The sequence below is a fragment of the Homo sapiens genome, chromosome 19 (genome assembly GCF_000001405.40).
Source record: "Homo sapiens chromosome 19, GRCh38.p14 Primary Assembly".
In the NCBI taxonomy this organism is placed as follows: Eukaryota; Metazoa; Chordata; class Mammalia; order Primates; family Hominidae; genus Homo; species Homo sapiens.
In genome coordinates this window covers 57,267,193-57,294,871 of record NC_000019.10, presented here as the reverse complement: position 1 = coordinate 57,294,871, position 27,679 = coordinate 57,267,193, and the positions used below count along the sequence as shown (strand labels likewise).

At 45.0% G+C, this 27,679-nt stretch overlaps 1 protein-coding gene and 1 long non-coding RNA gene across 5 annotated transcripts, besides 9 other annotated features; one reads left to right on the top strand and one right to left on the bottom strand.

Moving 5' to 3' along the window:
• Positions 1 to 802: 802 nt before the first annotated feature.
• ZNF460 (zinc finger protein 460) lies at positions 803 to 14,890 on the bottom strand. 3 transcript variants are annotated; one of them, XM_047438079.1, is made up of 3 exons: positions 14,575 to 14,890; positions 10,195 to 10,321; positions 803 to 4,173 (listed from the first exon to the last, which is right to left on the bottom strand). In XM_047438079.1, exons 1-3 carry the CDS (start codon positions 14,581 to 14,583, stop codon positions 2,642 to 2,644), a joined length of 1,668 nt encoding a protein of 555 aa, XP_047294035.1. In that variant the 5' UTR covers positions 14,584 to 14,890; the 3' UTR covers positions 803 to 2,641. The 3 variants fall into 3 exon arrangements, with proteins under 3 accessions (XP_047294035.1, NP_001317551.1, NP_006626.3); NM_001330622.2 differs by having other exon boundaries at positions 14,748 to 14,890; NM_006635.4 differs by lacking the exon at positions 14,575 to 14,890 and adding an exon at positions 14,036 to 14,387.
• Positions 12,906 to 13,025: an enhancer, noted in NCBI's record as "active region_15130". NCBI's record gives its function as "activates an Ori minimal core promoter by ATAC-STARR-seq in GM12878 lymphoblastoid cells {active_cell/tissue: GM12878}" and the evidence as "EXISTENCE:reporter gene assay evidence [ECO:0000049][PMID:35858748]".
• Positions 13,482 to 13,531: a silencer, noted in NCBI's record as "silent region_11075". NCBI's record gives its function as "represses an Ori minimal core promoter by ATAC-STARR-seq in GM12878 lymphoblastoid cells {active_cell/tissue: GM12878}" and the evidence as "EXISTENCE:reporter gene assay evidence [ECO:0000049][PMID:35858748]".
• Positions 13,929 to 15,128: an enhancer, noted in NCBI's record as "BRD4-independent group 4 enhancer chr19:57791112-57792311 (GRCh37/hg19 assembly coordinates)". NCBI's record gives its function as "activates an origin of replication core promoter dependent on BRD2, P300/CBP, MED14 and CDK7 cofactors, and independent of BRD4, by STARR-seq in HCT116 cells {active_cell/tissue: HCT116}" and the evidence as "EXISTENCE:reporter gene assay evidence [ECO:0000049][PMID:35650434]".
• Positions 13,929 to 15,191: a biological region, named in NCBI's record as "BRD4-independent group 4 enhancer GRCh37_chr19:57791112-57792311".
• Positions 13,954 to 14,545: an enhancer, noted in NCBI's record as "NANOG-H3K27ac-H3K4me1 hESC enhancer chr19:57791695-57792286 (GRCh37/hg19 assembly coordinates)". NCBI's record gives its function as "activates a minimal SCP1, AML or CMV promoter by ChIP-STARR-seq in primed H9 embryonic stem cells {active_cell/tissue: H9 hESC(primed)}" and the evidence as "EXISTENCE:reporter gene assay evidence [ECO:0000049][PMID:30033119]".
• Positions 14,252 to 15,191: an enhancer, noted in NCBI's record as "active region_15129". NCBI's record gives its function as "activates an Ori minimal core promoter by ATAC-STARR-seq in GM12878 lymphoblastoid cells {active_cell/tissue: GM12878}" and the evidence as "EXISTENCE:reporter gene assay evidence [ECO:0000049][PMID:35858748]".
• ZNF460-AS1 (ZNF460 antisense RNA 1) lies at positions 14,538 to 27,679 on the top strand. Of its 2 annotated transcripts, NR_136528.1 has the most exons (4): positions 14,538 to 14,593; positions 16,690 to 16,756; positions 17,816 to 17,937; positions 27,160 to 27,679. It is a non-coding gene; the product is annotated as a ZNF460 antisense RNA 1 (long non-coding RNA). The 2 variants fall into 2 exon arrangements; NR_136529.1 differs by lacking the exon at positions 16,690 to 16,756.
• Positions 14,546 to 15,137: an enhancer, noted in NCBI's record as "NANOG-H3K27ac-H3K4me1 hESC enhancer chr19:57791103-57791694 (GRCh37/hg19 assembly coordinates)". NCBI's record gives its function as "activates a minimal SCP1, AML or CMV promoter by ChIP-STARR-seq in primed H9 embryonic stem cells {active_cell/tissue: H9 hESC(primed)}" and the evidence as "EXISTENCE:reporter gene assay evidence [ECO:0000049][PMID:30033119]".
• Positions 21,517 to 21,811: a silencer, noted in NCBI's record as "tiled region #5355; K562 Repressive DNase matched - State 9:DNaseU". NCBI's record gives its function as "represses a minimal TATA promoter and a strong SV40 promoter by Sharpr-MPRA in K562 cells {active_cell/tissue: K562}" and the evidence as "EXISTENCE:reporter gene assay evidence [ECO:0000049][PMID:27701403]".
• Positions 22,850 to 22,909: a silencer, noted in NCBI's record as "silent region_11074". NCBI's record gives its function as "represses an Ori minimal core promoter by ATAC-STARR-seq in GM12878 lymphoblastoid cells {active_cell/tissue: GM12878}" and the evidence as "EXISTENCE:reporter gene assay evidence [ECO:0000049][PMID:35858748]".

Below are 27,679 nucleotides of genomic sequence, written 5' to 3'. Positions count from 1 at the left end.
CTTAAATGTAAGAGCAAAAACTATGAAACTACAGAAGAAAACATAGGGGAAATGCTTCTGGATATTGGTCTGGGCAAGGATTTTATGAATACCTGAAAATCAAGGTAACAAAAGCACAAATAAACAAAGGGATTATATTAAACTAAAAAACTTCTGCACAGCAAAGGAAACAACAGAATGAAGAGACAACTAGTAGAGTGGGATAAAATATTTGCAAACTATTCATCTGAAAGGGATTAATATCCAGAATATAAAAGGAACTCAATAGCAAAAAAAATAAAAATAAAAAATCTGATTTTAAAATGGGTAAATAAGGTGAATAGACATCCCTCAAAAGGAGACATACAAATGGCCAAGTATATGAAAAAATGCTCAACATCACTAATCAGGGAAATGCAAATCAAAACCACAATGAGATATAATTTCACCTCAGTTAGGATGGCTATTACCAAAGATAAAAAATAAAAAATGCTGCTGAGAACATGGAAAAGGGGGAACTCTTATATATGGCTGGTAGGAATGCTAATTAGTATAGCCATATGGAAAACAGTATGAATGTTCCTCAAAAATCTAAAACTATAGCCAGGCACGGTGGTGTGTGCCTGTAGTCCCAGCTACTCAGGAGGCTGAGGTGCAGGACTGCTTGAGCCCAGGAGTCTGAGACCAGCCTGAATAACACAGCAAGACCCCATTTTAAAAAATGAAAAATAAACAAAAGTTAAAAATACAACTACCATATGATCCACTGGTAATGATCTATACCACTACTGGGCATATATGCAAAAACAAATATATCTATACGTCAAAGAGAGATCTACACTCCTATGTTTATTGAAGCACTATTCATAATAGCTAAGAAATCAGTCTAAGTGTCCATTATCAGATGAATGAAGAAAGAAAACATGGCATATATACACAATGGAATACTACTCAGCCATGAAAAATAAACCTGTCATTCACAGCAACATGAATGAGCTTGAAAGACATTAAGTGAAATAAGCTAGACACAGAAAGAGAAATACTCCATGTTTCTACTCATATGCAAGCATAAAAGGTTGAGAATGGTGGTAACCAGAGGCTGGGAAGGACAGCAGAGAGGCAGATAGAGATTGGTTAACAAATACAAAATTACAGCAAGTAAGATTCCATTTGAATAAGTTGTAGTGTTCTGTGGCACTGCAGAATGAGTACAATTGGCAATAATACATTTTATATTTTCAAATAGCTAGAAAAGCAGACTGTGAATGTTTCTAAACACAAAGAAATGATAAATGATTGAGATGGATATGCTAATTACCCTGATTTGATCATTACTCTTAGCACACATGTATTGAAATATCACACCAAACCCCATAAACATTGTCAATTAAAAACAATAAAAGAAACAAAAAGAATACCAAAAGAGAAATTCCAAAATATTCTGATTAAACATATTAATTACTACGACTGGACTCAATCCATGGTGACAACTACCTGCATATACATATGCAGGTTCACCTGTTAAAATTCCAGTCACTTTATGTATAGTCAGCCTTCACACAATCTTCTGTAAGACTGAAAAATGAGATTCCTTCTCTGTGTTTATTTTCTGAGTTTATCATAATCTTTTAACTTACTTTAGCTACATGTCTTATTTCATTTTTGGTTCCAAATTGACCTCTAGAAAATTGTTGAGGTGAATTTTGAACTATTTACTCTCTCTAAAGAGCAGTAAAAAAGCTGAGAAACCACAATCAGAGGGAAGAATTAGGACTCCCTGGATTACATTATGTACAAACAGCTACAATATCATCTCCATCCTACAGAAAAATAAAGAAGAAATTGACAAGTAGATCCAGATCAAGAAAAAAGTATGGTACTGGGTGGTTAAAGACACACGGAGAAACAATTTTTTTAAAAAAGTCAAAGCGTCTGAAGTGTGCAGTAAAATGTGCCCATTCATATGTACATCCTTTATCTCCTTAAATGTAAAAGTATTTCATAACTCAAGCCTCCATCTTTCTCATAAAGATATATGCTTCTGCTCCTCAAGAGTGGAGACAATGCTGTGGAACAAAGCAGGCTTTCACAAAATGTTTTCAAACAAACCGTTTGTCTACAGCACTGGACAGCAGTGAATGTATACACAGGGAAAATAAAGGGGATGAGGCCCTTTTGTTTCTGAAACATTTCCCTCTCCCAAATAAAATAAGGAGGGGATGACAAATTGCCATGGGCTTGTCAGGGAAGTCTGAAAGAAGCTGTGCTTCCATTTCTTTCTCTTCCCTATGACTCCTCCTCCTTTGTTTGAATGTCCCTGAGATAACATTTCACTGTAAACTAATAAGAAAGATGTGGCTGAAGGTTTTCCTAAGTGCACAGTAACCACTGGGTCTCTTTCATGGGTGAATTATCAGATGTAGAATAAGACTCTTGGCTGTGTCAATTTCTAACATAATTGTTTAGATGACAAATGATGATCTAAAACAGGTTTTCCCACAGAGATGATACTTATGGAGTTTCTCTTCAGTATGAATGACCAGATGGTAAGATGTTTCCTCTCACCACAGATTTTCTTCAGTGGTTATATTAAAAAACTATTTCGCTAATAGGAATTCTTGGATGTTGACTGAAGTGTACGTAAAAAGTCTTTCCACATCTGTTACAATGGTAGGGTTTCTTCCACTATGAATCCGTTGATGTCGAGTGAGGAGGAATGAGCGGCAATTGAAGGCGTTTCCATATTCACTGCACTCACTGGGCTACTCTCAGTGTGGATGATGGAGTGTTGAATGAGATCTGTGCTCTCACAAGAAACGTTCCCACTCTGGATGGGTTCGTGGGACTTCTCTGCAGTGTGAATCCGCTGGTGCCTTGTGAGGGGTGACCTGCGGTTGAAGGCCTTCCCGCACTCCACGCATTCATAGGGCTTCTCTCCAGTGTGGATGCTAAAGTGTCGAATCAGGTTTGTGGTCCGACAAAAGGCTTTCCCACATTGGATGCATACATACGGCTTCTCTCCAGTATGAATCCACTGGTGCCTTGTGAGCCCTGACATGCGGGTAAAAGCCTTTCCACACTGTAAACACTCATAGGGCTTCTCTCCAGTGTGGATGTTGAAGTGTCGAATGAGGTCTTTTCGAATGCTAAAGGCTTTCCCACATTCTTTGCACTCAAAAGGCTTTTCTCCAGTGTGGGCTCTTTCATGCAGGACATAGGTGGAATAGTGAGTGAAGGCCTTTCCACATTGACTGCACACAAAGGGCTTCTCACCAGTGTGAATCCGCTCATGCTGCTTGAGGTGTGACCTGCAGTTGAAGGCCTTCCCACACTCAAGGCACTTAAAGGGCCTCTCCCCAGTATGGATAATGAAGTGTTGAATGAGGGCTGTACTCTCATAAAAGCCTTTTCCACATTCGCTGCATGCGAAGGGTTTCTTCTCATTGTGGCTCTTGTTATGCAAGACAAAATTGGAGCGGTAGGTAAAGGCCTTTCCACATTCATTGCACACAAAAGGCTTCTCTCCACTGTGAACCCGCTGGTGCCGTGTAAGGTGCGACCCGCGATTGAAGGTCCTTCCACATTCACTGCACACAAAGGGCTTATCTCCATTGTGAGTCCGCTGGTGCCGTGTGAGGTGTGACCTGCGGTTGAAGTCTTTCCCACACTCCAGGCATTTATAGGGCTTCTCCCCAGTATGGATGATGTGATGCTGAAGGAGGTGTTTGCTCTTGCCGAAGGCTTTCCCACATTCTGGGCAATCATAGGGCTTCACACGAGGGAGAATCTGCTCATGCTGAACAAGGAAGCAATTCTCATTAAACATTTCCTCGAATTTATAGGAATTTTCCCCTTCATGAATCAAGGAATCTGTAACTGGTCCATATGAGTCAAATCCATAGAGAGCATCTTCTGGTGAGACTTGGTTCTGTATCATCATTGAACAAATACCATCAGCTGTCGCCAAACCTTCGTGTTCAAGGCTCATTTTCCCATGGAGTTTCTCACTCTGTGGGTCTGTCCCTGGTCTCAAAAAGTATTCCTGCATTTCAGATGGCCCATCTTGATCCATGGCCTGCCCCAAATAGGAGTATCTTGGGACTCCCTGTGCCAGCTGTTCCTGGAGTGAGACTTCCTCAGGCAAGGCCAGATGAGAAGGGATAGGCTCTACGGTCTCAGGTTTTGTGCTGTCACCTGAAGGGAACACAATACACAAAAGAACTTATTAAGATAGTACAGAAGAAATGAAACCACCTTTTTGGTGAGAACAATAAGATGAAAATAGTGATGATTTGAAAATAGCTATGATTTGATGGGCTGGGTACAGTGGCTCATCCCTGTAATCCCAGCACTTTGGGAGGCCAAGGCAGGCGGATCACTTGAGGTCAGGAGTTTGAGACCAGCCTGGCCAACATGGTGAAACCCCATATCTACTAAAAATACAAAAATTAGCCAGGCATGGTGGCGGGCGGCTATAATCCCAGCGACTGGGGAGGCTGAGACAGGAGAATCGCTTGAACCTGGGAGGTGGAGGCTGCAGTGAGTCAAGACTGAGCCACCGCACTCCAGCCTAGGTGACAGAGGGAAACCCATCTCAAAAAAAGGCCAGGCATGGTGGCTCATGCCTGTAATCCCAGCACTTTGGTTTGGGAGGCTGAGGCGGATCACCCGGGATCTGCCCACCTCAGCTTCCAAGGTAGCTGGACTACAGGCATATGCTACCACGCTTGGCTTTTTTTTGTTTATTTTTTTTTAGATGGAATTTCACTCTGTTGCCTAGGCTGGAGTGCAGTGGCATGATCTCAGCTCACTGCAACTTCTGCCTCCTGGGTTCAAGCAATTCTCCTGAATCAGCCTCCCAAGTGGCTGGGATTACAGGTGTGCGCCACCATGCTGGGCTAATTTTTTTGTATTTTTACAGATGAGGTCTCACCATGTTGGCCAGACTGGTCTAGAACCCCTGAACTCAGGTGATCTGCCTGCCTCGGCCTTCCAAAATGCTAGAATTACAGGTGTGAGCCACCCCGCCTGGCTAAATTTTTTGTATTTTTAAAATAGAGATGGGGTTTCACCATGTTGCCCAAGCTGGTCTCGAACTCCTGGGCTCAAGTAATCCGCCCACCTCTGCCTCCAAAGTGCTGGGATTACAGGCGTGACCCACCGTGCCTGGCCAACTCTTGAAATTTTTAAAGAGAAACCCAGAGGGAGAAGCTCAAGCAGAGTACAGATGGTCTGGAATAGAGATCCCCACTCACAGTCAAGATGAGACTAGGTGGACATCATAATGATGACACTCTATCATAAGCTTGCTCAAGAACATGTCAAGGAGCTACAAGAGGCCAGGGAAGGGGCACTTAATGTAGCCTAGAAGGGGCAGGGACAGGAAGAGGTCAAGGAGGCTTCCCAGAGAGGATGCTTCATGAGCTTAAAGTTAGAAGGACATATTAGCCTTAGGACATAGAATATACAAAGACACAGAGTCTTCAGCGAATCCAGAGGACTGCAGTGAGAGGAGGCAGCCCCATAAGAAGTTAAGGTTGATCAGGATTCAGAGACAGGAAGGGGCGGAGACGAAGCTGATGCTCAAGATTCTGCCTGAGGGACAGCTAGTGATGGCCACAGCTACTCTTAGGACAGAGCTCCTAGGACAGAGGGTGAACAGAATCCTGGTAGACATATAGAATCCACTGTCAAGGTGAAAGGTAGGCGAAAAGGCTAACAAACAACTGGATCTTGAAAAAGAAAATAATAAAACTTTATTTCAAGACAATAAAGATCTAACTGAATGAAGAAATTGATAATATAAAATTATCAATTCTCTAAAAACTGATCCAGAAATTCAATACAACCCTGAGAAACAATAACCTGAAAATACTAGAAAAAGACACAATCTGAAAGGTACTGCCTGTAATCCTGGCTACTCGGGAAGCTGAGCCCAGGAGTTCGAGACCAGCCTGGGCAACATAGCCAGATCCATCTCTTAAAAAAAAAAAAAAAGTAATAATAATAAATAAAAAGAATGTGTGGATTAGCCTTGGAGAGTATGTAAGAGTAAAAAGGATGGGCTATGAGATAACTGATGAAGCCAACATAAAAGTGAAGATCAGAGTAAAAAGAGAACCAAAGCCCAGTGAGAACAGAGAAAGAGAATCTAAGACGGCCCAATGCTCAAGCACAAAATATGAAAACTCTGTGCTGAATCGTGAGTTCATATTGAAGGGAGGTTAAGAGTGTAGCTCTGGAGTCAGAACATCTCAGTTCAAATCTTGCCTGTACCAAGTCAGCTGATGCCAGAGAAATGATTTAGTTGATCCTAGTCTCCACTTCCTCATCTGAAAAACAGAAACTCTCAGATTCTGTTTCATAGGCTGTGATGAGGGTTAAATAGGAAAATTCTTGGCTGGGCACGGTGGCTCATGCCTGTAATCCCGTTACATTTGGGAGACTAAGGCAGAAGAATTGCTTGAGGCCCAGAGTTCAAGAGTAGCCTGGGCAATATAGCAATATCCCATCTCTACAAAAAAATTAATAAATTAGCCGGACGTTGTAGCATGAGCCTGTAGTTCCAGCTACTCTGTAGGAGAACTGCTTGAGCCCAGGAGTTTGAGGCTACAGTGAGCTATGATGGTGCCACTGCGCTCCAGCCTGGGCGACAGAGGAAGACCCTGTCTCTTAAAAAAGGGGAAAATTTCTATAAAGCACTTGGCACAGTGCTAGACACTACATAAGAGATCGGTAAATTGTGGGCCATCATCAGTTATCATTATGGTCACTGTTGTATTTGAAAATTAGGAATGAAAGGAGTGACCTTACAATGGTTTCTGTGCTGTGATATAGAGAAACCTACCACAGGGACTCAAACAGTAAAATGAAATGATGGTTTTTTTTGTTTGTTTGTTTTTTTGAGATGGGGTCTCGCTCTGTCGTCCAGTCTGGAGTACAGTGGTGTGATCTTGGCTCACTGCAACCTCCACCTCCCAGGTTCAAGCAATTCTCCTACCTCAGCCTCCTGAGTAGCTCAGATGATAGGCACCTGCCACCACACCTAGCTAATTTTTAAATTTTTAGTAGAAATGGGGTTTCACCATGATGGCCAGGCTGATAACTCCTGACCTCAAGTGATCCGCCCGCCTAGACCTCCCAAAGGGGAATGATGTTATCAAGTGATTATGAAGATGTGGAGCAATGGAAACTTTCACATGTCCATGGTCAGAAAGTGAAATGGTACATTCTGCAGAACTGCTGGGCAGTTTCTTTTAAAGCTGAACACACCCACACAGTGTGGCTCATGCCTATAATCCCAGCACTTTAGGAGGCCAAGGAGGGAAGATCAGTGCAGGCCAGGAGTTCAAGATGAGCCTGGGCAACATAGTGAGACTCCATTTCTACAAAAAATAATAAAGAAAAAAAGAAAGCTGAATATACAACCTACTCCATGACCTGATATGTACACACGAGTATATTCTAACAGAATTTACTGTTAACACACAATTCAGAAATCAGTATTTACATCCACCAGAAAATATGAACAATAATACTCTCAGCAACATATCCAAAACCTGAAAACAACAGGAACATCCATCAGCAGGGTAATGGACAAATGGATGGCAGTTTCACATACAATGAGAAACTACAACATATTGAGAATGAACCAACTCCGACTGTATATAAACACCTCAAAAGAATAACACAGACATGATGATCAAAAGAAGACAGATATGTCAGAGAGCACACTGTGCAGTTCAACAACAGCCAACCAATCTGTGCTGATGAAGTCTAAATATGAGCTAATAGAATCAAAGAAGCTATCGAGGGCATAAAACCCTGATGAGGAGCTGGAGATAGCCTATGTATTGATGTAGGTGGTAGTTACTTGGGTTTATACATAAGCAAAAATTCAGTGAGTGGACTTTTTTTTTTTTTTTTTTTTGAGACAGAGTCTCCTTCTTCGCCCAGACTGGAGTGCAGTGGCACGATCTCGGCTCACTGCAACCTCTGCCTCCTGAGTTCAAGCGATTCGCCTGCCTCAGCCTCCCGAGTAGCTGGGATTACAGGTGTGTACCGCCACGCCTGGCTAATTGTTTTGTATTTTTAGTAGAGACGGGGTTTCGCCATGTTGGCCAGGCTGGTCTCAAACTCCTGACCTCAGGAGATCCACCCGCCTCAGCCTCCCAAAGTGCTGGGATTACAGGTGTGAGCCACCACTCCTGGCCTGGACTTCTTAGGATTTTTGCACAACACAGCATATGAGTTATAGCTTATTCAAAAAGTAAAAAAAGATGGAGTCTTATTATGATGCCAAGCCTAGTCTCGAACTCCTGGCCTGAAGCAATCCTCCCATCTCAGCCTCCGGAGTAGCTGGGATTAGAGGCATCTGGCTTCCATTTTAGTGTTATTAATTGACTTGACTGCATTATTGTTGTATCTCAGAGAATATGGAAGCCCAAGGAGAGAGACAGAGAGGGAATGGCCAGTAAGTGGAGCAGTCAGAACACACATAACATTTATTGATAAAGCTGTCTTACATGGTGCAGTTCATGGTGCCCCATAGCAATTACAATAGTAACATCAAACACCACTGATCGCAGACCACCACAGTAGATATAATATTAATAAAAATATTTGAAATACTGCAAGAATTACCAAAACGTGACACAGACAAAAAGTGAGCACATGCTGTTGGAAAAATGGTGCGGGACAGACTTGCTCAATTCAGGGTTGCCACAAACATTCAACTTCTAAAAATACAGTAACTGCAAGGTGCAGTAAAGCAAAGTACAATGAAACAAACGTATGCCTTTTTTGGCACATATTGTCCCATTTTACCCATGAGAAAATTGAGGCACTTTTCTGCACTGGCATGGGTATAAAGAAATAAAAAATTCTAAAAAGAAAATTAAGGCACAGAGGAGTTCAGTACTTTGCCCAGGAACACACAGCTGACAAAAAGTAGAGCTGGAATTGGACTCTGAGGCATCAGACCTTGGTCTCCCAAGTGCTGTGCTCAGAGGAAATGAAGAACACCCCCGTGTGGTGCCAGGAGTCTCAAAACAAGGAGGCCATAAAGAATGGGAGACATGAGTGGAAGAACTCAATCCTAAGGGAACAGGGCAGCAGAGTGAGGGGTAGACGTGGTGACTCCACGCTTCGACATTTCATGAACCACTGAAAAATAAAAAACTGGGAGGGAACTCCAAATAGCGATTTGGCCACATATAGACGTTTGCACAAACATCAAAATCAACACATCACAAAAGAAAGAACCTTTACCAAGAAAAAAAATGCAACGAACAGCATCTCACAATGAAGGTTTATCTCTTAAACTGAATTAATTAAGTTTCTGAGGTGTTCATTGCAATGGCCCTATTATCCTTACTCACTGACGATGGGGATGCTGGGAGAATTAAGTGAGAAGAGTATCAACAGAGAGACAACAAAAATATGCAGGAAGTAGTAGTGCCAAGGAATGTGTGAGCCTCAGAGAACAAGACTAGACGGTCACTTCGTTCCACACAATAGCTGAGCCAGAAAAAGCCATTATAAAAAGACAGTGACAGGAGCAGACCCATAAAGGGAAGCCAGCACCAGACAACCAGTATTAGTGCCACAGGGGGGCCTGGCTGCAAATCCTGCCTTTGGGTTCTACAAAACATCCCATTTCCTGGTAACACATCCCTCTCCTTTGGCTGTGACCAAAAGCAAACTATATTTCGTAGCCAACCCTTTCTAAGTAAGACACAAAGAGATCAGGAAGAATAAGGTGAGTCAAAAAAATGAGGCTGGGCGTGGTAGCTCATGCCTGTAATCCCAGCACTTTGAGAGGCTGAGGTGGGTGGATCACTTGAGGTCGGGAGTTTGAGAACAGCCTGACCAACATGGAGAAACCCCTTCTCTACTAAAAATACAAAATTAGCTGGGCATGGGAGCACATGCCTGTAATCCCAGCTACTCTGGAGGCTGAGGCAGGAGAATCACTTGAATCGGGGAGACGGAGGTTGTGGTGAGCCAAGGTCACGCCATTTCACTCCAGCCTGGGCAACAAGAGCGAAACTCTGTCTCCAAAAAAAAAAAAAAAAAAATAGAGTAAAGCTTTGGGAAACAGGAGGGCTGGCTCCCAAGACCTATTCCACTAGCCAGGCCTGGAGCCAGGATGAAGGCTAGAATGAAGCTGCTTTCTGGTGCCCCTGATTTTGGAGAGGAGAGGACAGGCCTTACCCAGTGCGACCAGAAGCCCACAGGTCTCCAGCATCACCTCCACGTACAAGGCCCTCTGGGTCACGTCCAACTGCCCCCACTCCTCCTGGGTAAATGTCACAGCCACATCCTCGAAGGTCACAGACTCCTGAAAAGTCAAAAAGAACCAGTAATGTTTCCTTTGCAACTGTGGAATAGGATTAGAACCTGTCACTCCAGCACTGCAAAAGATGCACAGAGAATCAAAGGCCAAATCACCAAGCACCTCCAAAGGGCCAAGATCTGTGCTAGGATCAAGGGGAATGTGGACACTGCCTTGCATGGATTACAGCAGTGAAGAGGAGACAGAAGCGGCTGAGGCAGGAGAACTGCTTGAACCTGGGAGGCGGAGATTGCAGTGAGCTGAGATCGTGCCACTGCACTCCAGCCTGGCAACAGAGCAAGACTCTGTCTCAAAAAAAAATAAATAAATAAATAAAAAATAAATAAATAAATAAATAAATAAAGCCTCCTAGGCAGGAAGCCACTTGAACTTAACACAGAAATAAGGTTAGGACAATCCCAAGTGGACTGAGAGGCACAGACAGTAAGTGCTCTGACATATTAGAGGAATGGGAAATAATAATAATAAAAACATCACCACCAGCAACAATAACAGGAACAGTATCTGAGTCTTACCAATCCTCCCTGTGTGCCTGCCTCATGCTGACAGGTTTACATGCCATGGTAAAGTGACTGAAACTCCCCAGCTCAGGAGCCAGACTCCTGAGGTTTAAAACCAAATTCCTGAAATCAACGTGTGCCTGCTATGTGACCTTGGGGACCTCATTTCATTTCGCCGAGCCTCCATTTCCAGGTCAATATAACCGTGTTTCCCACTTCATCAAGAATAGTCAAGGCTGGGCACGGTGGTTCATGCCTGTAATCCCAGCACTCTGGGAGGCTGAGGCACATGAATTACCTGAGGTCAGGAATTCGAGACAAGCCTGGCCAACATGGTGAGACCCCATCTCTACTAAAAATACAAAAATTAGCCAGGTGTGGTGGCACAAGCCTGCAATCCCAGCTACTAGGGAGGCTGAGGCAGGAGAATCGCTTGAACCTGGGAGGCAGAGGTTGCAGTAAGCCAAGACTGTGTCACTGTACTCCAGAACAGAGCGAGCCTCTGTCTCAAAAAAAAAAAAAAAAAAAAAAAAGAATAGTCAAAAGAACTAAAGAAAAACTGTTTGTAGGCTGGGCACGGTGACTCATGCCTGTAATCCCAGCAGTTTCGGAGGCTGAGGTGAGCAGATCATGAGGTCAGGAAATTGAGACCATCCTGGCTAGCAAGGTGAAACCCCATCTCTACTAAAAATACAAAAATTAGCTGGGTGTGGTAGTGTGTGCCTGTAGTCCTAGCTACTCGGGAGGCTGAAGCAGGAGAATCGCTTGAACGTCGGAGGCGATGGTTGCAGTGAGCCGAGATCGCACCACTGAACTCCAGCCTGGCAACAGAGCTAGACTCCATCAAAACAAAGAAAGAAAGAAAAACTGTTTGTAAAAAAAAAAAAAAACAAACAAACACTGAGGCAAAGGCCACAGCATCTGAATTTACCATCATCATCTCTATGTCACACTCAGGGACCTGAGACCTGGGCCTCAGTCCTACCCTCCGCTCTACCAGTCTACCCAAAGTCTCATGTGTTCATGTCTCTCTCTTTTTTTTTTTTTTAGATGGTCTCACTCTGTCACCCAGGCTGGAATGCAGTGGCACAATGTCGGCTCACTGCAACCCTGACCTCCTGTGATCTAGTGATCCTCCCACCTCAGCCTCCTGCACAGCTGGGACTACAGGCACATGATGCCATGCCGGTCTAATTTTTTGTACTTTTTGTAGAGACAGGGTTTTCCCATGTTGCCCAGGCTGGTCTTGAACTCCTGGGCTCAAGCAGTCCACCTACCTCAGCCTCCCAAAGTGCAGGGTTTACAGGTGTGAGCCACCAAGCCCAGCCCAAAGTCACAGGTCTTATCAACAGAGGCAGGATTTAAGCCCAGGGCCCTCTGGTCTGATTATGTAACCTGACATTTCTCTATTAGCAAAGTTAATGCAGTTAATGAGAATGAAGCATTTCAAATCCACATATACATTTCAGCCACTCCCATGGACAAGGGCAGAGAAGTGTAGTCATCATCATCCACCTCACCAAAGAATCACCTGACGTGGTGACACCTGATCAGGTGTTAGGGCCTGGACCTGCTTCCAGGGAGAATTCACAATGAGCCATCGCTTCCTTTTCTACCTAAGTCCTACTAGCAGGCATCCCTGAGGCCAGAAGATTCCATGAGCAAGCAACAAGAGTCATAGAGGGCACAGCAGGTTGTAGCCAAGACAATATGGGCCCATCTGGAGATTACATCTATCCTGGCTGAGTAGGAGGGTACATTCAGCAACATAACCATACAAACGTGCCCTCTCAGAATATGTCAGCAGGTAAGGGAGTAAGGGGAACCACATATAAAACCACCGTGGAAGCCACACAGGTCCCCTGAGAACTCCTTAAACAACCAATATACCATTTTTTAAGTCTACACAGTTCCACCAGTATGAAAGGCCATGACTCCTCATGCCCAAGATCACTGGCTAGAAGGAGGCCTCATCTTGCAAAGGTTACTTTAGGTCTCACCCCCAGGCCTCCCTAACCACTGCGGGTAAAGAAGAGGGTAAAAACACAGGCTATGATGTTAGACACACCAGTTGTTAGTTTCTGACTTAAGAAACTTAAGAGCTACAGTGATGTAAGGCAGGTAATTGGACGTATGTGACCCTCAAATTGCTCTTGTGTAAAACAATGATGACAACAGAACCTAATTCTAAAGAGTAATCCCAGCACTTTGGGAGACCCAGATGGGTGGATCACCTGAGGTCAGGAGTTCAAGACCAGCGTGGCCAACACGGTAAAACCCCGTCTCTACTAAAAATACAAAAATTAGCCAGGCGTGGTGGCGCACACCTGTAGTCCCAGCTACTCAGGAGGCTGAGGCAGGAGAATCGCTTGAACCCAAAAGGCGGAGGTTGCAGTGAGCCGAGGTCACGCCACTGCACTCCAGCCTGGGCGACAGAACAAGACTCCGTCTCAAAAAAAAAAAAAAAAAAAAAAAAAAATTTCAGGGTTAAACGAACTGAGGGTTAAATAATACTCACCGATCAGCCCACAGCAAGGACTCAATGACAGTTAATATCATTCTTTGCAATTATTTTTCTTTGTTCCCATTACATCCTTGACAAACTCAAATCCACAAGCTTCTTTAATACCATCAGATTATCTACACAAAAATACCAGACTCTGGGCAAGGGTGTAAGGTGCCACTTTAGCCGGAATTGCCAAAAAAGGCACCTCCAAATAGGTGACACCTGGACAGATGCCAAAAGGATGTGAAAGGGAGGCCCTGCAAAGTTACAGGGGCAGTGTTCGAAGTAAAAGGAAGTGCAAGGAGAAAGCCTGGAAAATGGAAGAGGACTGCACGGTCAGGTTGGTGGCTCTGAAGAGCAAAGGACCAGGGAAAAATGCAAACAGACAAGGTCAGGGGTGGTTGGCCAGGTGGATGGGGTACGGGCTGGCAGGCAACAGAGAAGGTTGGATTTAGGGGAAGTGTGATGAGATCCCTAGAAGGAAGCATCACTCCTTCAACCACGGACTGAACACCTATCAGAGGCCAACACTGTTGCAGGACTGCGGATAAAGGAAATGACAAGCCACGGCCATTTCTCTTAAATAAACGATGGCGACAAAGAAAAATCCTGTGGCTGTCTTGGCTTCCAGCCTGCCCACGAGGCCTCTAGAAATAGCACAGCAGCAGCAAGGCCGAAACCTCGTCCACTCACCTGCGCCGGAGCCATCCACGCCGCCGCCATCCCGGGAATGCCGCGGATCAGCCGACCACAGCCCTTCTCTGTCCTGGGCGGGGCGACCTCGGCTGACTTTCGCACTCCGAGCCTCAGTTTTCCCCCGAAAAAAATGCGCACAAGGCCCAAGGCGCAGCGTCGGGGCTGAGGAGACGGAGGGCGGCTGCGGAGGCCTAGGCCTCGGCGGGCGCCGGTGGGACACCTCGTTAGGGGAGAAGCGGGGCGTCAGGCTCCCGCCAAGACGCGAAGAAGGGGCGTAACCGCTTCACTACCCGTCCCTGCTCAGGCCGCAGAACGCGCCCACCCAGCGCTCTAGGCCCCACACTGTTTCAGGGCCAAACCGGCCCACGGAGATGACGTCACACGAAGAAGCGGAAGTCCCGCCTCCGCCGCCCTGGCCCGCAGAAAACTCTCCTGTCCTGGGTCGTCAATGGCCCAGAGTCCGCGGCCGACGCAAGGGGCAGTGCCTTCTGGGTAATGCAGTTTTTCCCTTACATCTACCGGGTGTGGGAACTCACCCAGCGCATCCGACTGCACGTAAGTGCGCACCAGAACCCCCGCGTCGTCTTAGGGCCACCGCCTTAGTATAGGCACAAGTCGGAGGGTCGAAAGGTCCCTTCTAGCTCAGGAAAATCGAGGTCAGGAGGCGGGGATATTCGCCCCGATTCAGACCCCGAACAAAGGTGCTTACCCTGCTGTGGGCTGGGCCCGCGACTTCTCGCTTGCTTTGCCTCTTTTCTGGATCTTTTCATAGAAGAAAAGGATAAATGAGCAGTTAAAATAGCCACCCAAAGGAGGACGCCTGACAGTGTGCCCAGCCTGCTGGGAAAGGACAGACCGCCCTCTATTGGGCCTCCTTTGGCCGGGCCCAGCCTTCGTAGGATGCAGGGACTTCCGGGTGATGTAATAGGCTTCGCGTTCGCCACGTGTGGACTTCCCGTACCCTGAGGTGGGGAGGCTGCTAGTGGAGCAGGCTTGCCGGGAAGCCCAGTACTCCCATTTCAAGCATGATCAGTTTGAAACGTCAGTAAGACCACAAAGCGTAGTGCCATATACTCAACCTATGATTCAACATTGGCAGAGGGTTCGAGCGTGGATATATAAATTTGGGAGTTATTACTGTAAACTGTTACTTCAAGTCATGATATTGGGTGAGGCTATGAAAAGAATGAGCGTAGATGGATAAGTGACGGGAAAGAGGGGAACCCTGGCCCAACCCAGCATTAACTGGTTGCAGACAGGAGAGTTTATAAAGTCTTGTTAGGAATTTTAACAATCCTAGACTATGCAAAGATTATATTATGCGAAGTCTTAGGAGTCCCCATCAGTAACTTTTTTTTTTTCTTTTCATGACTATGAAAGTGAGAGAATAAAGTCCAGCTTTCAATGGTTTGACGATATATATGGTTAAGGAAATAGAAAGGTGTGCAGAAAGTACTCTCCAAGAGATTTAATTTTGAGATTGAAAATAGTCAAGGAATGGAGATGGAGTCAATTTCCTACACGATGCGGTACTTTTGGAGAAATATTTTTGGCTAAATTAGTGTGCAAGGAACACTGTTATTCATCACTGGCAATAGTAATTTTTGAAAATTGATAAAGACATCATTCTCTTTTTCACATATTTGTGACTCTTAAATTTTTTTTTTTTTTTTTTTTTTTTGAGATGGAGTTTCACTCTTGTTGCCCAGGCTGGAGAGCAGTGGCACAGTCTCCACTCACTGCAACCTCCGCCTCCCGGGTTCAAGCGATTCTCCTGCCTCAGCCTCCTGAGTAGCTGGGATTACAGGTGTGCGCCACCACGCCTGGCTAATTTTATATTTTTAGTAGAGACAGGGTTCTTCCATGTTGTTCAGGCTGGTCTCAAACTCCCGACCTCAGGTGATCCACCCACCTCGGCCTCCCAAAGTGCTAGGATTACAGACGTGAGCCACCCCCTCTGGCCAGACTCTTATAATTAAATTTAAATGGTTTTTTCAGAGGCATATGAACCAGAGCAACTCTATCTTAAATAGGAGCTGGGTAAAATGAAGCTAAAACCTACTAGGCTGCATTCCCAGACAGTTAAGGCATTCTGAGTCACAGGATGAGATAGGAGGTCAGCACAAAATACGGATCATAAAGACCTTGCTGATAAAACAGGTTGCAGTAAAGGAGCTGGCCAAAACCACCAAAACCAAAATGGTGACAAGAGTGACCTCTGGTCTTCCTCACTGCTACACTCCCATCAGTGCCACGACAGTTTACAAATGCCATGGCAATGTCAGGGAGTTACCCTATGTGGTCTGAAAAGGGGAGGCATGAACAATCCACCCCTTGTTTAGCAAGTCACTAAGAAATAACCATAAACATGGGCACCCAGCAACCCTTGGGGCTGCTCTGTCTATGGAGTAGCCATTCTTTATTCCTTTACTTTCTTAATAAACTTGCTTTCACTTGCACTGTGGACTCGCCCTGAATTATTTCTTGTGCGAGATCCAAGAACCCTCTCTTGGGATATGGATTGGGACCCCTTTCCTGTAACACATTCCTGGCCACTACAGAAGAGACTATACTGCAGGAACCCGTGACCCAAAGGCTAACTTTGGGTAAGTGGTGGGGTCGGGTAACACTTTTCTCGCAAACCACAAAAGGGACAATGCTGAGGAGACCCCCCTGACTCAAAGGAAATAGACTGCAGCACTGATTGGATGACTTTGGGTAAGTGGTGGGGTACCCAGGTAAAGAATGGGATTGGGATAGACGCTCAAGTTAGGGGAGTTAGAGTCTCTCCTAAGGCAGAGTGGATTAGAGGCCCCTCTTAATAAAAGGCAAGGACGCTTGACTGACCTTGGGTTAGAGGCCCAACTTAGGAGGATTAGAGTCCCTTCTAAGATTTAGGGGGTTAGAGACCCCTCTCAGTAAAGTCCCTCTTGGCTAAGAAGAGGTTTGGCACCGTGGGATGTTAACTGCTATTGTCTTTGGATTAATCTGCCTTGCACTCTTTGCTGATGGCTCCGGGCGACAGGGTTAGGCGTGTACAGGATCGTGGGACATGGGGAGCTTTTTCCTCCCCCAAAAGGGGAAACTTGAGAGCTGACGGGACTGCTGGAAAAAAATCCCTTCACGACAGCAGCCGTAGCCGCCTGAACTTTTCAGTGTCACTGCAATGGGTGGGTCTTTCTCTGGCCTCCCTGATCATTTTGCCTTCCCTGGGAAAGTATTGCTTGTGGAAAATATTTCCTGGGAAAGTATTGCCTGCGAAAGCATTTCCATATATAATTTTTTTTTTTTTTTTGAGACGGAGTCTCGCTCTGTCGCCCAGGCTGGAGTGCAGTGGCGCTATCTCTGCTCACTGCAAGCTCCACCTCCCGGGTTCAGGCCATTCTCCTGCCTCAGCCTCCCGAGTAGCTGGGACTACAGGCGCTTGCAACCATGCCCGGCTAATTTTTTGTATTTTTAGTAGAGACGGGGTTTCACCATCTTAGCCAGGATGGTCTCGATCTCCTGACCTTGTGATCTGCCCGCCTCGGCCTCCTGAAGTGCTGGGATTACAGGCGTGAGCCACTGCGCCCGGCCCCTTTCTTATCTTTTCTATTACTCTATTACTCAGGGCGACCATCTTGCCCAGAGACCACATGTTGAAACTCCAAGTCAGAGGTTGGATTAAAGATGACAGGGCCTATCTGGGGGCAAATTTAAGCCTTGCCAGTTTAATATTGGGTGCTAAGCAGAGTGGCTAATGTGTATGTTTCATCACATGTGTTTTGCTCTGGTCAGAATGAAAAAAAGTAGTTTTCCTTTACAATGAGGCTTGGCCCCCAGGGCGATGGTGCCACAAGCCAGATCACTGGGACCACTCAGAGAAAGGGAACACAGAAGCCTGGCATGCCAGCAAAAAGGTAAGAATTTGTTACCAGTCAGATTTCTGACTTCTCCCTCTCTGTGCAAACGGTTGAATGAATGGTAAAAATAATAACAATAATAAAAATAATAAATCAGTGTGTATCTCCTCTGTAAAGTTTTGATTAATATGAAAAAGAATTCTAAGCTAGTCAAACTGGTGTATTTTGTGCTGTGAATTTGTTTTTCTGTAGGATGAAACATGGGCTTAGAACACCTGTGAGCCCACTTTTCAACATGACCCAGCAAACTGGTCAGTAACAAACAGCTGCAGGTCCCTGAAACAAACAAACAGGATGAAGTCTCCCCTTGTTTTATGTCCTTGGGAGCCTGACCTTTTAACCATGTGGCAGTACCTTCTCTTGGTCTCCACCTACTAGGGAAAAGGAATTTTAGGGTTCATGTCATAGTCAGCTCTAAAAATCATATAAAATAGTTAAAAGCCTTTGCAAGCTCAAAATTAACTACTCTAGGCTTCTGTGAAAGGAAGTAGGCACCGTCCCACACTGTAGCTCAGTAACTAAGGTTTCTGCACTTTCACAGTGGCAGTTTGGGTTTGATACCCCACCTAGGAAGTAAGTCATTTCTGGTTTAATATCTGCGTGACCTTGTCTAGTCTCTTCTCCTCCGCAGACTGTCTTAAATTTTCCTTTCTCTATGCACGTAGGAGATAACCTTTGGTAAAGTTCAGAAGTTAGAAATATTGGCTTCTTGGCATGGCTAAAGTTGGGTAATAAGAGATTTGAAAGGATTTCTTTTTTAAAGAGCACTATGGTTAAAAGTTAGCTTAATTAAAAGTGGATAGGCCAGGTGTGGTGGCTCACGCCTGTAATCCCAACACTCTGGAAGGCCAAGGAGGGCAGATCACCTGAGGTCAGGAATTCGAGACCAGCCTGGCCAACATGGTGAAACCCCGTCTCTACTAAAAATACAAAAAAATTAGCTGGGCGTGGTGGCGGGTGCCTATAGCCCCAGCTACTCGGGAGGCTGAGGCAGGAGAATGGCGTGAACCCGGGAGACGGAGCTTGCAGTGAGCTGAGAACGCGCCACTGCACTCCAGCCTGGGCAACAGAGCGAGACTCCATCTCAAAAAAAAAAAAAAAAAAATGCCTATGTGGAAAATAATTATTCTTGCTGCACTTTATATAAATAATCAGGCCAAGTATAATAAAGCAAATCAAATCAGTCTTACCCTAATTTGTCTTTAGTAAAAATGGGAAACTGGAGAGAGAAATATTATATTTCAAGAACTATGGTATACTTGTTATTAAATTCTAGTCTCATTAGTTCTTTTTAAGTTTGTTTCTGCAATTTAAGCTACCCTGCTTATTCCTGTGAACCAACATCTCTGACTGCTGCTCAGAAAAAATAAGAGGGATGGGTAATGTAAAAATCTGGATCAATATTCCAATTCTGGGCACATTATAATCAGCTAACAACCCCATGCCAGCTTAGTTCCAACAGTTGCTCAGTTCATGAAAAGCCTTCTAATTTAGTTTACTTAGAATAACTTTACTTATTTTGCTTTACTCTTGTGGAATATATTGCTGTTATACTCTTTGTGTAGGAATACAGAACAAGCTTACTGAATGTTTCCTTTTTTTTTTTTTTTTTTTTTGATGGAGTCTCACTCTGTTGCTCAGGCTGGAGTGCAGTGGCGCGATCTCGGCTCACTCTGCCTCCCGGGTTCAAGTGATTCTCCTGCCTCAGCCTCCTGAGTAGCTGGGACTACAGGCGTGAGCCACCACGCCCCACTAATGTTTTGTATTTTTAGTAGAAACGGGGTTTCATCATGTTAACCAGGATGGTCTTGATCTCCTGACCTTGTGATCCGCCCACCTCAGCCTCCCAAAGTGCTGGGATTATAGGTGTGAGCCACCGCACCCAGCCAGAAACTCCTGTTTTTAAAACTATCAGATCTGGTGAGACTCCTTCACTATCATAACAGCGCAGGAAAGACCCTGCCCCATAATTCAGTCACCCCCCACCGATCCCTCCCATGACAAATGAGAGTTGTGAGAGTTACAATTCAAGATGAGATTTGGGTGGGGACACAGCCAAACCATATCATATGGGGTCTCACTATGTTTCCCAGGCTGTCTGTGAACTCCTAGGCTCAAGTGATCCTTCGGCCTCAGCCTCCCAGGTAGCTGGGACTACAGGTGCACACCACCATGCCCAGCTTGGAAATCAAATTTCAACATGAGTTTTGGTGGAGACGAACTATTTCCAAATCTTAGTATCTCCCTTACCTTATTTGTATAAGACGGGATTCACAAAACACACATAGAAGCACTTACATTTGATTTTTAATATATGTATTGCTAAGGTGAGCACTTACTTGATTTTTCAGAAATTAAAACCAGTAATTAATAAGGCTCACCCATAAATAAACAAGGAGAAGAAACCAATCTTAAAGAAGAATTGCAAATAGTATACATAGATACCAACAGCCCCCTTCAGACAGTGGAGCTTTGTGGTCTTCCCCTTGAGTTGGCTGGATTTAGTGACTAATTGTGGAAAATGAAAACAGTAACTTGACAGGGGAAACCTGGCAGACAAGTACCTAACCAAGTGATCAAGGTTAGCATCACTTAAGTCATCTTTTTTTTTTTTTTTTTTGAGATGGAGTCTTGCTCTGTCTCCCAGGCTGGAGTGCAGTGGCGCAATCTCAGCTCACTGCAACCTCCGCCTCCCAGGTTCAAGCCATTCTCCTGCCTGAGCCTCTTGAGCAGCTGGGACTACAGTTGCACGCCACCACGCCCGGCTAATTTTTGTATTTTTAGTAGAGACGGGGTTTCACCATGTTGGCCAGGATGGTCTGGATCTCTTGACCTTGTGATCCACCCGCCTCGGCCTCCCAAAGTCCTGGGATTACAGGGCGTAAGCCACCGTGCCTGGTCCATTTTAGTCATCTTGACATCACGTAACACCTACTATGATGATACAAGGAGGACACTTTGCCAATCTGATGTTCTTCCCCTTAACCCACAATTCTAGACTAATAATGAAAAAATACCAGACAAATGCAAATTAAGGGACATTGCATTATGAGTACTCCAGAAGTATGTAGATCATGAAAAACAAGAAAAGACAGAGCAGCTGTCACAGATGGGAGAAAACTAAAGCGATGAGATGATTAACTGAAATGTGGTGTCCTGGACTGGATCCTGCAACTGGAGGACATTAGTGGAAAAAAACTGGTGAAATCCAAATACAGTGTGTAGTTCAGTTAGTAGTAGTAGTAGTATACCATGTTAATTTCTTAGCTTTGACAAATATGTCATAGGCTTATGAAGTATTAACATGAGGTGGAGCTGCATGAAGTTATATAGGAACTCTGTAATATCTTTGCTTCTTTACAGCTAAAATTGTCAGAAAATAAAAAGTTTAAAACAAAAAAAGCAAGGAGAGACTTCTGGCGTGACAGCATAAGGAGCTCTGTGGGCCTATTCCCCAACAAAACTGTTGAAAATTATTAAAAACAAAAATGAAAACAAAAAAAGTCGTGTCTCTGGAGATAGTCCTAAGGATATACATCAAATGAAAAAATATTTATTCAAGAGAATCTGTCCTTCTGTAAGAACTGCGAGAGTCTGTGGTATTTGAACCAAGACTATCTCTTTCCTTCAGCCCTCCCAGTTCAATGATATGGAAACTGTACTCTACAGTGTTGCAGACAAGAACACAGGGCTCTCCCTCTCAGCTTCCATACAGAGGGCTGTCTTCCCAGCAGGGTAGGATGTCAGCATTTCTTATCTTGCCACCAGAAACTTGCTGAGGCTAAATCCCTAGTGAGTGCAGCCCCAGAGGCAGGAGCTCCCTTCCTCCACCCATCCAGTGTTGGTGAGATGAAGGCCCTTCCTTGGGCATCATGATGCTGAGCACTGGGGATTCATCACACTTGCCCCACTGAAAGTCTGTAGTAGTGTACCATGACAGGGCAGCTGAAAAGACATGAGACCACTGGCCACCCGCTACCACTGAGCACTCAACCCTCAAAGCAGGATGTCAGAAGTGGGCCATTGTTCCCACTCCCAGCTTTAGAACCCAGATCCAGAGATACTGCCTGAGGGGACAAGCAGAGAGCCTGGAAAGAAACATGTGGAGGTACGCCAACCTGAGGTAGAACAAATATCAAACAGTTTGGGAACCCAAACAGCCTGATTTTTTTTTTTTTTTTTTTTGAGACGGAGTTTTGCTCTGTCACCCAGGCTGGAGTGCAATGGCGTGATCTCGGCTCACTGCAACCTCTGCCTCCTAGGTTCAAGCTATTCTCCTGCCTCATCCCAAGTAGCTGGGATTACATTTTTGTAGTTTTTAGTAGAGACAGGGTTTCACCATGTTGGCCAGGCTGGTCTCGAACTCCTGACCTCATGTGATCCACCCGCCTTGGCCTCCCAAAGTGCTGGGACTACAGGTGTGAGCCACCGTGTTCGGTCAAGCCTGATAAAAAGCTTTGGAGCAATTTATGCCTCTGGGTATTGTTGAAAGTGGTGTCATTCTGTACTCTCTTCTCAAACCACATCAGTGGTCTATAGTGGAAGAATCAAGAATACCAGGCTCTCTGGTTATGAAGGTAATATATGGGTTCCAACCCTAAAATTCATCTGGAATCTGCTGCTTCCTCTTCATCTCAAGTCTCACTTCATAGGGAATCCTTTCATAACTAGTGTTTGCTCCAGTCAGCTTCTCCTTTCATTCCTTCTCCCTTCATTCCTTTCATTCCTTCTCCTTTCATTCCTTGTAGCTTCTCCTTTCATTCCCTGTAGAATCTGTCTTGTTCTCATGGAGTCAGGAGCAGAAATACATCTCAGGGCCAAAACCATGACTTTCAGTCTTGAACTGGAAGTTTCCCCTGAAGCCATAGGCTGGTTGCTGAGAGAAGAGAAAGGGAAATGGCCTTAACAGCCAGGGGTGACCCCGCAGTCCTACAGTAACAGTCCTACAGTGGTGCCAGGAGACCATGGGGATTTCACAGCATTATTATAAAATCCACTCAACATTCACTCTACAAATACTTCTTAGAGAAGCTGAGGGAAGGCACTTTGCAAGATGATGTAAAAGATACAGTGTTGAGCCAGTGCCACCTGGATTGTAGACATGTGGTCCAGGTAATGAGTCTCAGCTTGTATCAACCATTCCCTTCTCATAGAGGCCTCTCCAGATCTCTTACTCTTTTTTTTTTCTTTTGAGATGGGGTCTTCCTCTGTAACCCAGGCTGCAGTACTGTAGCAGGGTCATAGCTCACTGCAGCCTCCACCTCCCAGGCTCATGTGATCCTCTCACCTCAGCCTCCTGAGTAACTGGGATCACAAGCCCACACCAACACACCCAACTAATTTTTTTTTTATTTTTTGTAGAGATGGGGTCTCACTGTGTTGCCCAGCTCCTCTCAAAACTCCTGGGCTCAAGTGCGGATCTCTTAATCTAAAGTAGCTCCTCCGGCCAGGTGTGGGGTCCTGTAATCCCAACACTTGGAGAAGCCGAGGTAGGAGGAACACTTGAGCCCAGGAGTTCAAGACCAGCCTGGGCAACATAGTGAGACCCCGTCTCTGTGAAAAATTTAAAAATTAGCCAGGCGTGGTGGTGGGTACCTATAGTCCTGGCTACTCGGGAGGCTGAGGGAGGAGGATCACTTGAGCCACGGCGGTTTAGGCTGCAGTGAGCCATGATTGTGCCACTGCATTCCAGCCCGGGCAACAGAGTGAGAGAACCTGTTTGTTTAAAAAATAATAACAATAATAAAAATTTTAAAGTAGTCCCTCACCCCAATATTACTCTGCTCTATTTTTCTTTAGGACATTCATAACCATTTGAAAATATATTTTTATATATTTACTAACTTTTAATTAATTAACTCAACAAGTACTTGACTATCTTGTGATAGGCTCTGCTCTAAACAGTGGAGATACAGAGCTGGGCCTGGTGGGTTTGTTCCTGTAGTCCTAGCTACTCAGGACACTGAAACAGGAGGATCGCTTGAGACCAGGAGTTTGAGACCAGCCTGGGCTATCTAGCGAAACCCTGTTTCTAAACAAAAAAACAAAAAGTCACAATGGAGACACATACATACCACACACACACACACACACACACACACACAAAATAATAATAATCCAAAACTCCTAAACAATATAGAAGGTTAGGAGTGTTGCGGAGATAAGACAAACTAGAGCAGATTAAGAATCAGTGAGAGTGGGATAAAGCCAGTTGTGCAATACAGAGTGGTTGGGACAGGTCTAATAGGACAGTTAGGCCGGGCGTGGTGGCTCATGCCTGTAATCCCAGCACTTTGGGAGGCTGAGGCAGGCAGATCATGAGGTCGGGAGATCGAGACCATCCTGGCTAACATGGTGAAACCCCGTCTCTACTAAAAATACAAAAAATTAGCTGGCCGTGGTGGTGGGCCCCTGTAGTCCCAGCTACTAGGGAGGCTGAGGCAGGAGAATCATTTGAACCCGGGAGGCAGAGGTTGCAGTGAGCCGAGATCACGCCACTGCTCTCCAGCCTGGGCGACAGAGCAAGACTTCGTCTCAAAAGAAAAAAAAAAAGTGATGTTTTAGCATGGACTTGGAGGAATTAAAGACTCATCAAGTGGAGATCTCAGGAAACAGTGTTATCACTCAGAGAAAACACACAGGACAATGGAACTGACAGAGCATCCTGGGTGTTTGTGGAACACCAAGAAGCCTAGTGCGGCTGGAACTGAATGTGCATGGAAGTTGGAGAGATAGATGGAAACAAATTGTGTAGTCTTTTATGCCAGCGTAGAGAGGTTGTAATATGTTCCTGTGTGTTCAAAAATGTACCTGGGGTTTTTTGCAGTATGGTCTGATAAGAAACTCGGACATGCAAATGATTGCCAGGAAGGAAGAACTTTCAACTCACGGAGTTTTAGAAACAGTAGGCAAAACACATCCTGCAGGGCTATGTGAGAAGCACCAGGGTGGTATAAGAAGCAGAAGCAGAGGAGAAAGCAGAGGCCAGATCCTTTATTGTTTTCCACAGGAAAAGAAAGGCAGGGCTGGGTAACCAGAAGAGGATTTGCTGGTTTGAATAAAGTTGGTAGACTTTGGGGTCTAGGAGCTGTCCCTGTCTGCCTAGTACCTGGCCCTGGAGTCATTAGAGCAAAAAAAAAAAAAAAAAAAAAAAATTGTCTCCTGTAGTGTAAGAGCCAGACAGAGGAGATGATTCACATTAGGGTACTCTGGATTTGTTAGTATGCAAATAAAAGGCATGGTTCAGAGTGAGTCATTTGCAATCTCTAAGAATCAGTTAACTCTAAATGGCAAGGTCCCAAATTCCATAGCATCAACAATGCAGAAAATAAGAAAATATAGCTAATACACTGTGAAATGGGTAGCCATCATGGGGTTTTGAGCAGAGCTGTGATGTTATCTGATTTATGTTTTTGTTTGTTTTTTGAGACGGAGTCTTGCCCTGTCGCCAGGCTGGAGTGTGATGGCGTGATCTCGGCTCACTGCAACCTTCTCCTCCTGAGTTCAAGCGATTCTCCCACCTCAGCCTCTGGAGTAGCTGGGATTAGAGGCATGTGCCACCATGCCCGGGTAATTTTTTGTATTTTTAGTAGAGACAGGGTTTCACCGTGTTAGCCAGGATGGTCTCGATCTCCTGACCTCGTGATCCACCCGCCTCAGCCTCCCAAAGTGCTGGGATTACAGGCGTGAGCCACTGTGCCTGGACTGATTTATGTTTTAAAAGGATCACTCTGGGTAGTCTATGGAAATTGGAATATGGGAGGGGCAAGAGGGAGAAGTCCTGTTAGGGAGCTCTGGCTCTTTCCAGATGTGCAAGGTGGAGGATAACTTAAGCCAATGTAGTGAGAGGGGAGGTGGTTTACCACAAAGTACAATTAACAGTAGATCAAGGAGAACAATGAGTAATTGAATTGATACAAATATATGGAAAAGTATGAATGGCTTTATGGGATGGATTGTTGTTTCTAAATCTATCCATTCCCCACACGAGCTGCTCCAGTGGCTCAGCATGTTCATGATGATACTGCTGATATATCTTATATAAATGTTATACTAAATGTAGATGCTCAGTAAATATGATTGTTTTGCTGTAAGAGATTCTAGGCTAGGGCCAGGGCTTTGGTTATACACGAAAGTGTGAACTCATCAGGCTTCAGTTGCTCAGATGCTATACATTCTAAAGAAAGAAATGGCCCTTGATCAGCTCCAGGAAGACAATCTCTGAGTTTCTGGAATATTTTGCCTGGTAAAAGTAATTTTTAAGCCTGAGTCCATAGGCCTTCATGTATCGATTTGATGAGATAATTTATTCTAAGAACATTGTTACTGAAAAGGGGTCCCAATCCAGACCTCAAGAGGGTTCTTGGATCTTCCACAAAAAAGAATTCGGGGTGAGTCCATAATGAAAGCAAGTTTATTAAGAAAGTAAAGGGGCCAGGCGCGGTGGCTCACGCCTGTAATCCTAGCACTTTGGGAGGCCGAGGAGGGTGGATCACCTGAGGTCAGGAGTTTGAGACCAGCCAGGCCATCATGGCAAAACCCCATCTCTACTAAAAACACAAAAATTAGCCGGGCGTGGTGGCACATGCCTGTAATCCCAGCCACTCGAGAGGCTGAGGCAGGAGAATCGCTTGAACCCGGGAAGCAGAGGTTGCAGTGAGCCAAGATCATGCCATTACACTCCAGCCTGGGCAACAGAGCAAGACTCCGTCTCAAAAAAAAAAAAAAAAAAAAGGAATACAAAATGGCTACTCCATAGGCAGAGCAGTAGTTTGGGCTGCTGGACTAAGGCTACTTATAGTTATTTATTGATTATATGCTAAAGGAGGGTTGGATTATTCACGAGTTTCCCAGGAAAGGGGTGAGCAGTTCTCAGAACTGAGGGTTCCTCTCCTTTTTAGACCATATAGGGTAACTTCCTGACATTGCCATGGCATTTGTAAACTGTCATGGTGCTGCTGAGAGTGACTTTTTGCATGCTAATGCATAATTGGGATATAATGGGCAGTGAGGATGACCTTGGTTTTGGCCGTCTTGGTTTTGGTGGGTTTTGGCCGTCTTGGTTTTGGCCGTCTTGGTTTTGGTGGGTTTTGGCCGTCTTGGTTTTGGCCGTCTTGGTTTTGGTGGGTTTTGGCCGTCTTGGTTTTGGCCGTCTTGGTTTTGGTGGGTTTTGGCCGTCTTGGTTTTGGCCAGCTTCTTTACCACAAGCTGTTTTATCAGCAGGGTTTTTGTGAGCAGTGTCTTGCACCAAACTCCTGTCTCCTCCTGTGACTTAGAATGCCTAACTTCCTGGGAATGCAGCACAGGTCTCAGCCTCATTTTGCCCAGCCCCTATTCAAGACGGATTTGCTGTGGTTCAAATGCTTCTGACAATATTCCTCATGGTGAATGCTGGATTTTGCATGCCCGAGGCCCTGGGCCACACTGTATGTTTGCTTTTTGCAAGGGCTGTATGGCTATGACTAGTTATGTGGACCCTGCATTCCTATGTAAATGACCCTCCATAAAAACCCCAGAAATGAATGCTTGAGTGAACTTCCCTGGCTTGTATTATAATACTGTGAACATCTTGTCACACATCTTTGCTGGGGGAATTAAGTGTGTCCCTATGTGACCGTAATGGGAGATAACACCCAGAGTTTTGTGCCTGCTTTCATGTGGACTTCATTCTATGTGATTTTTCCCTTTGGTGATCCTGGTCTATATCCTTTTATTGTAATAAACTATAACCATAACAGCT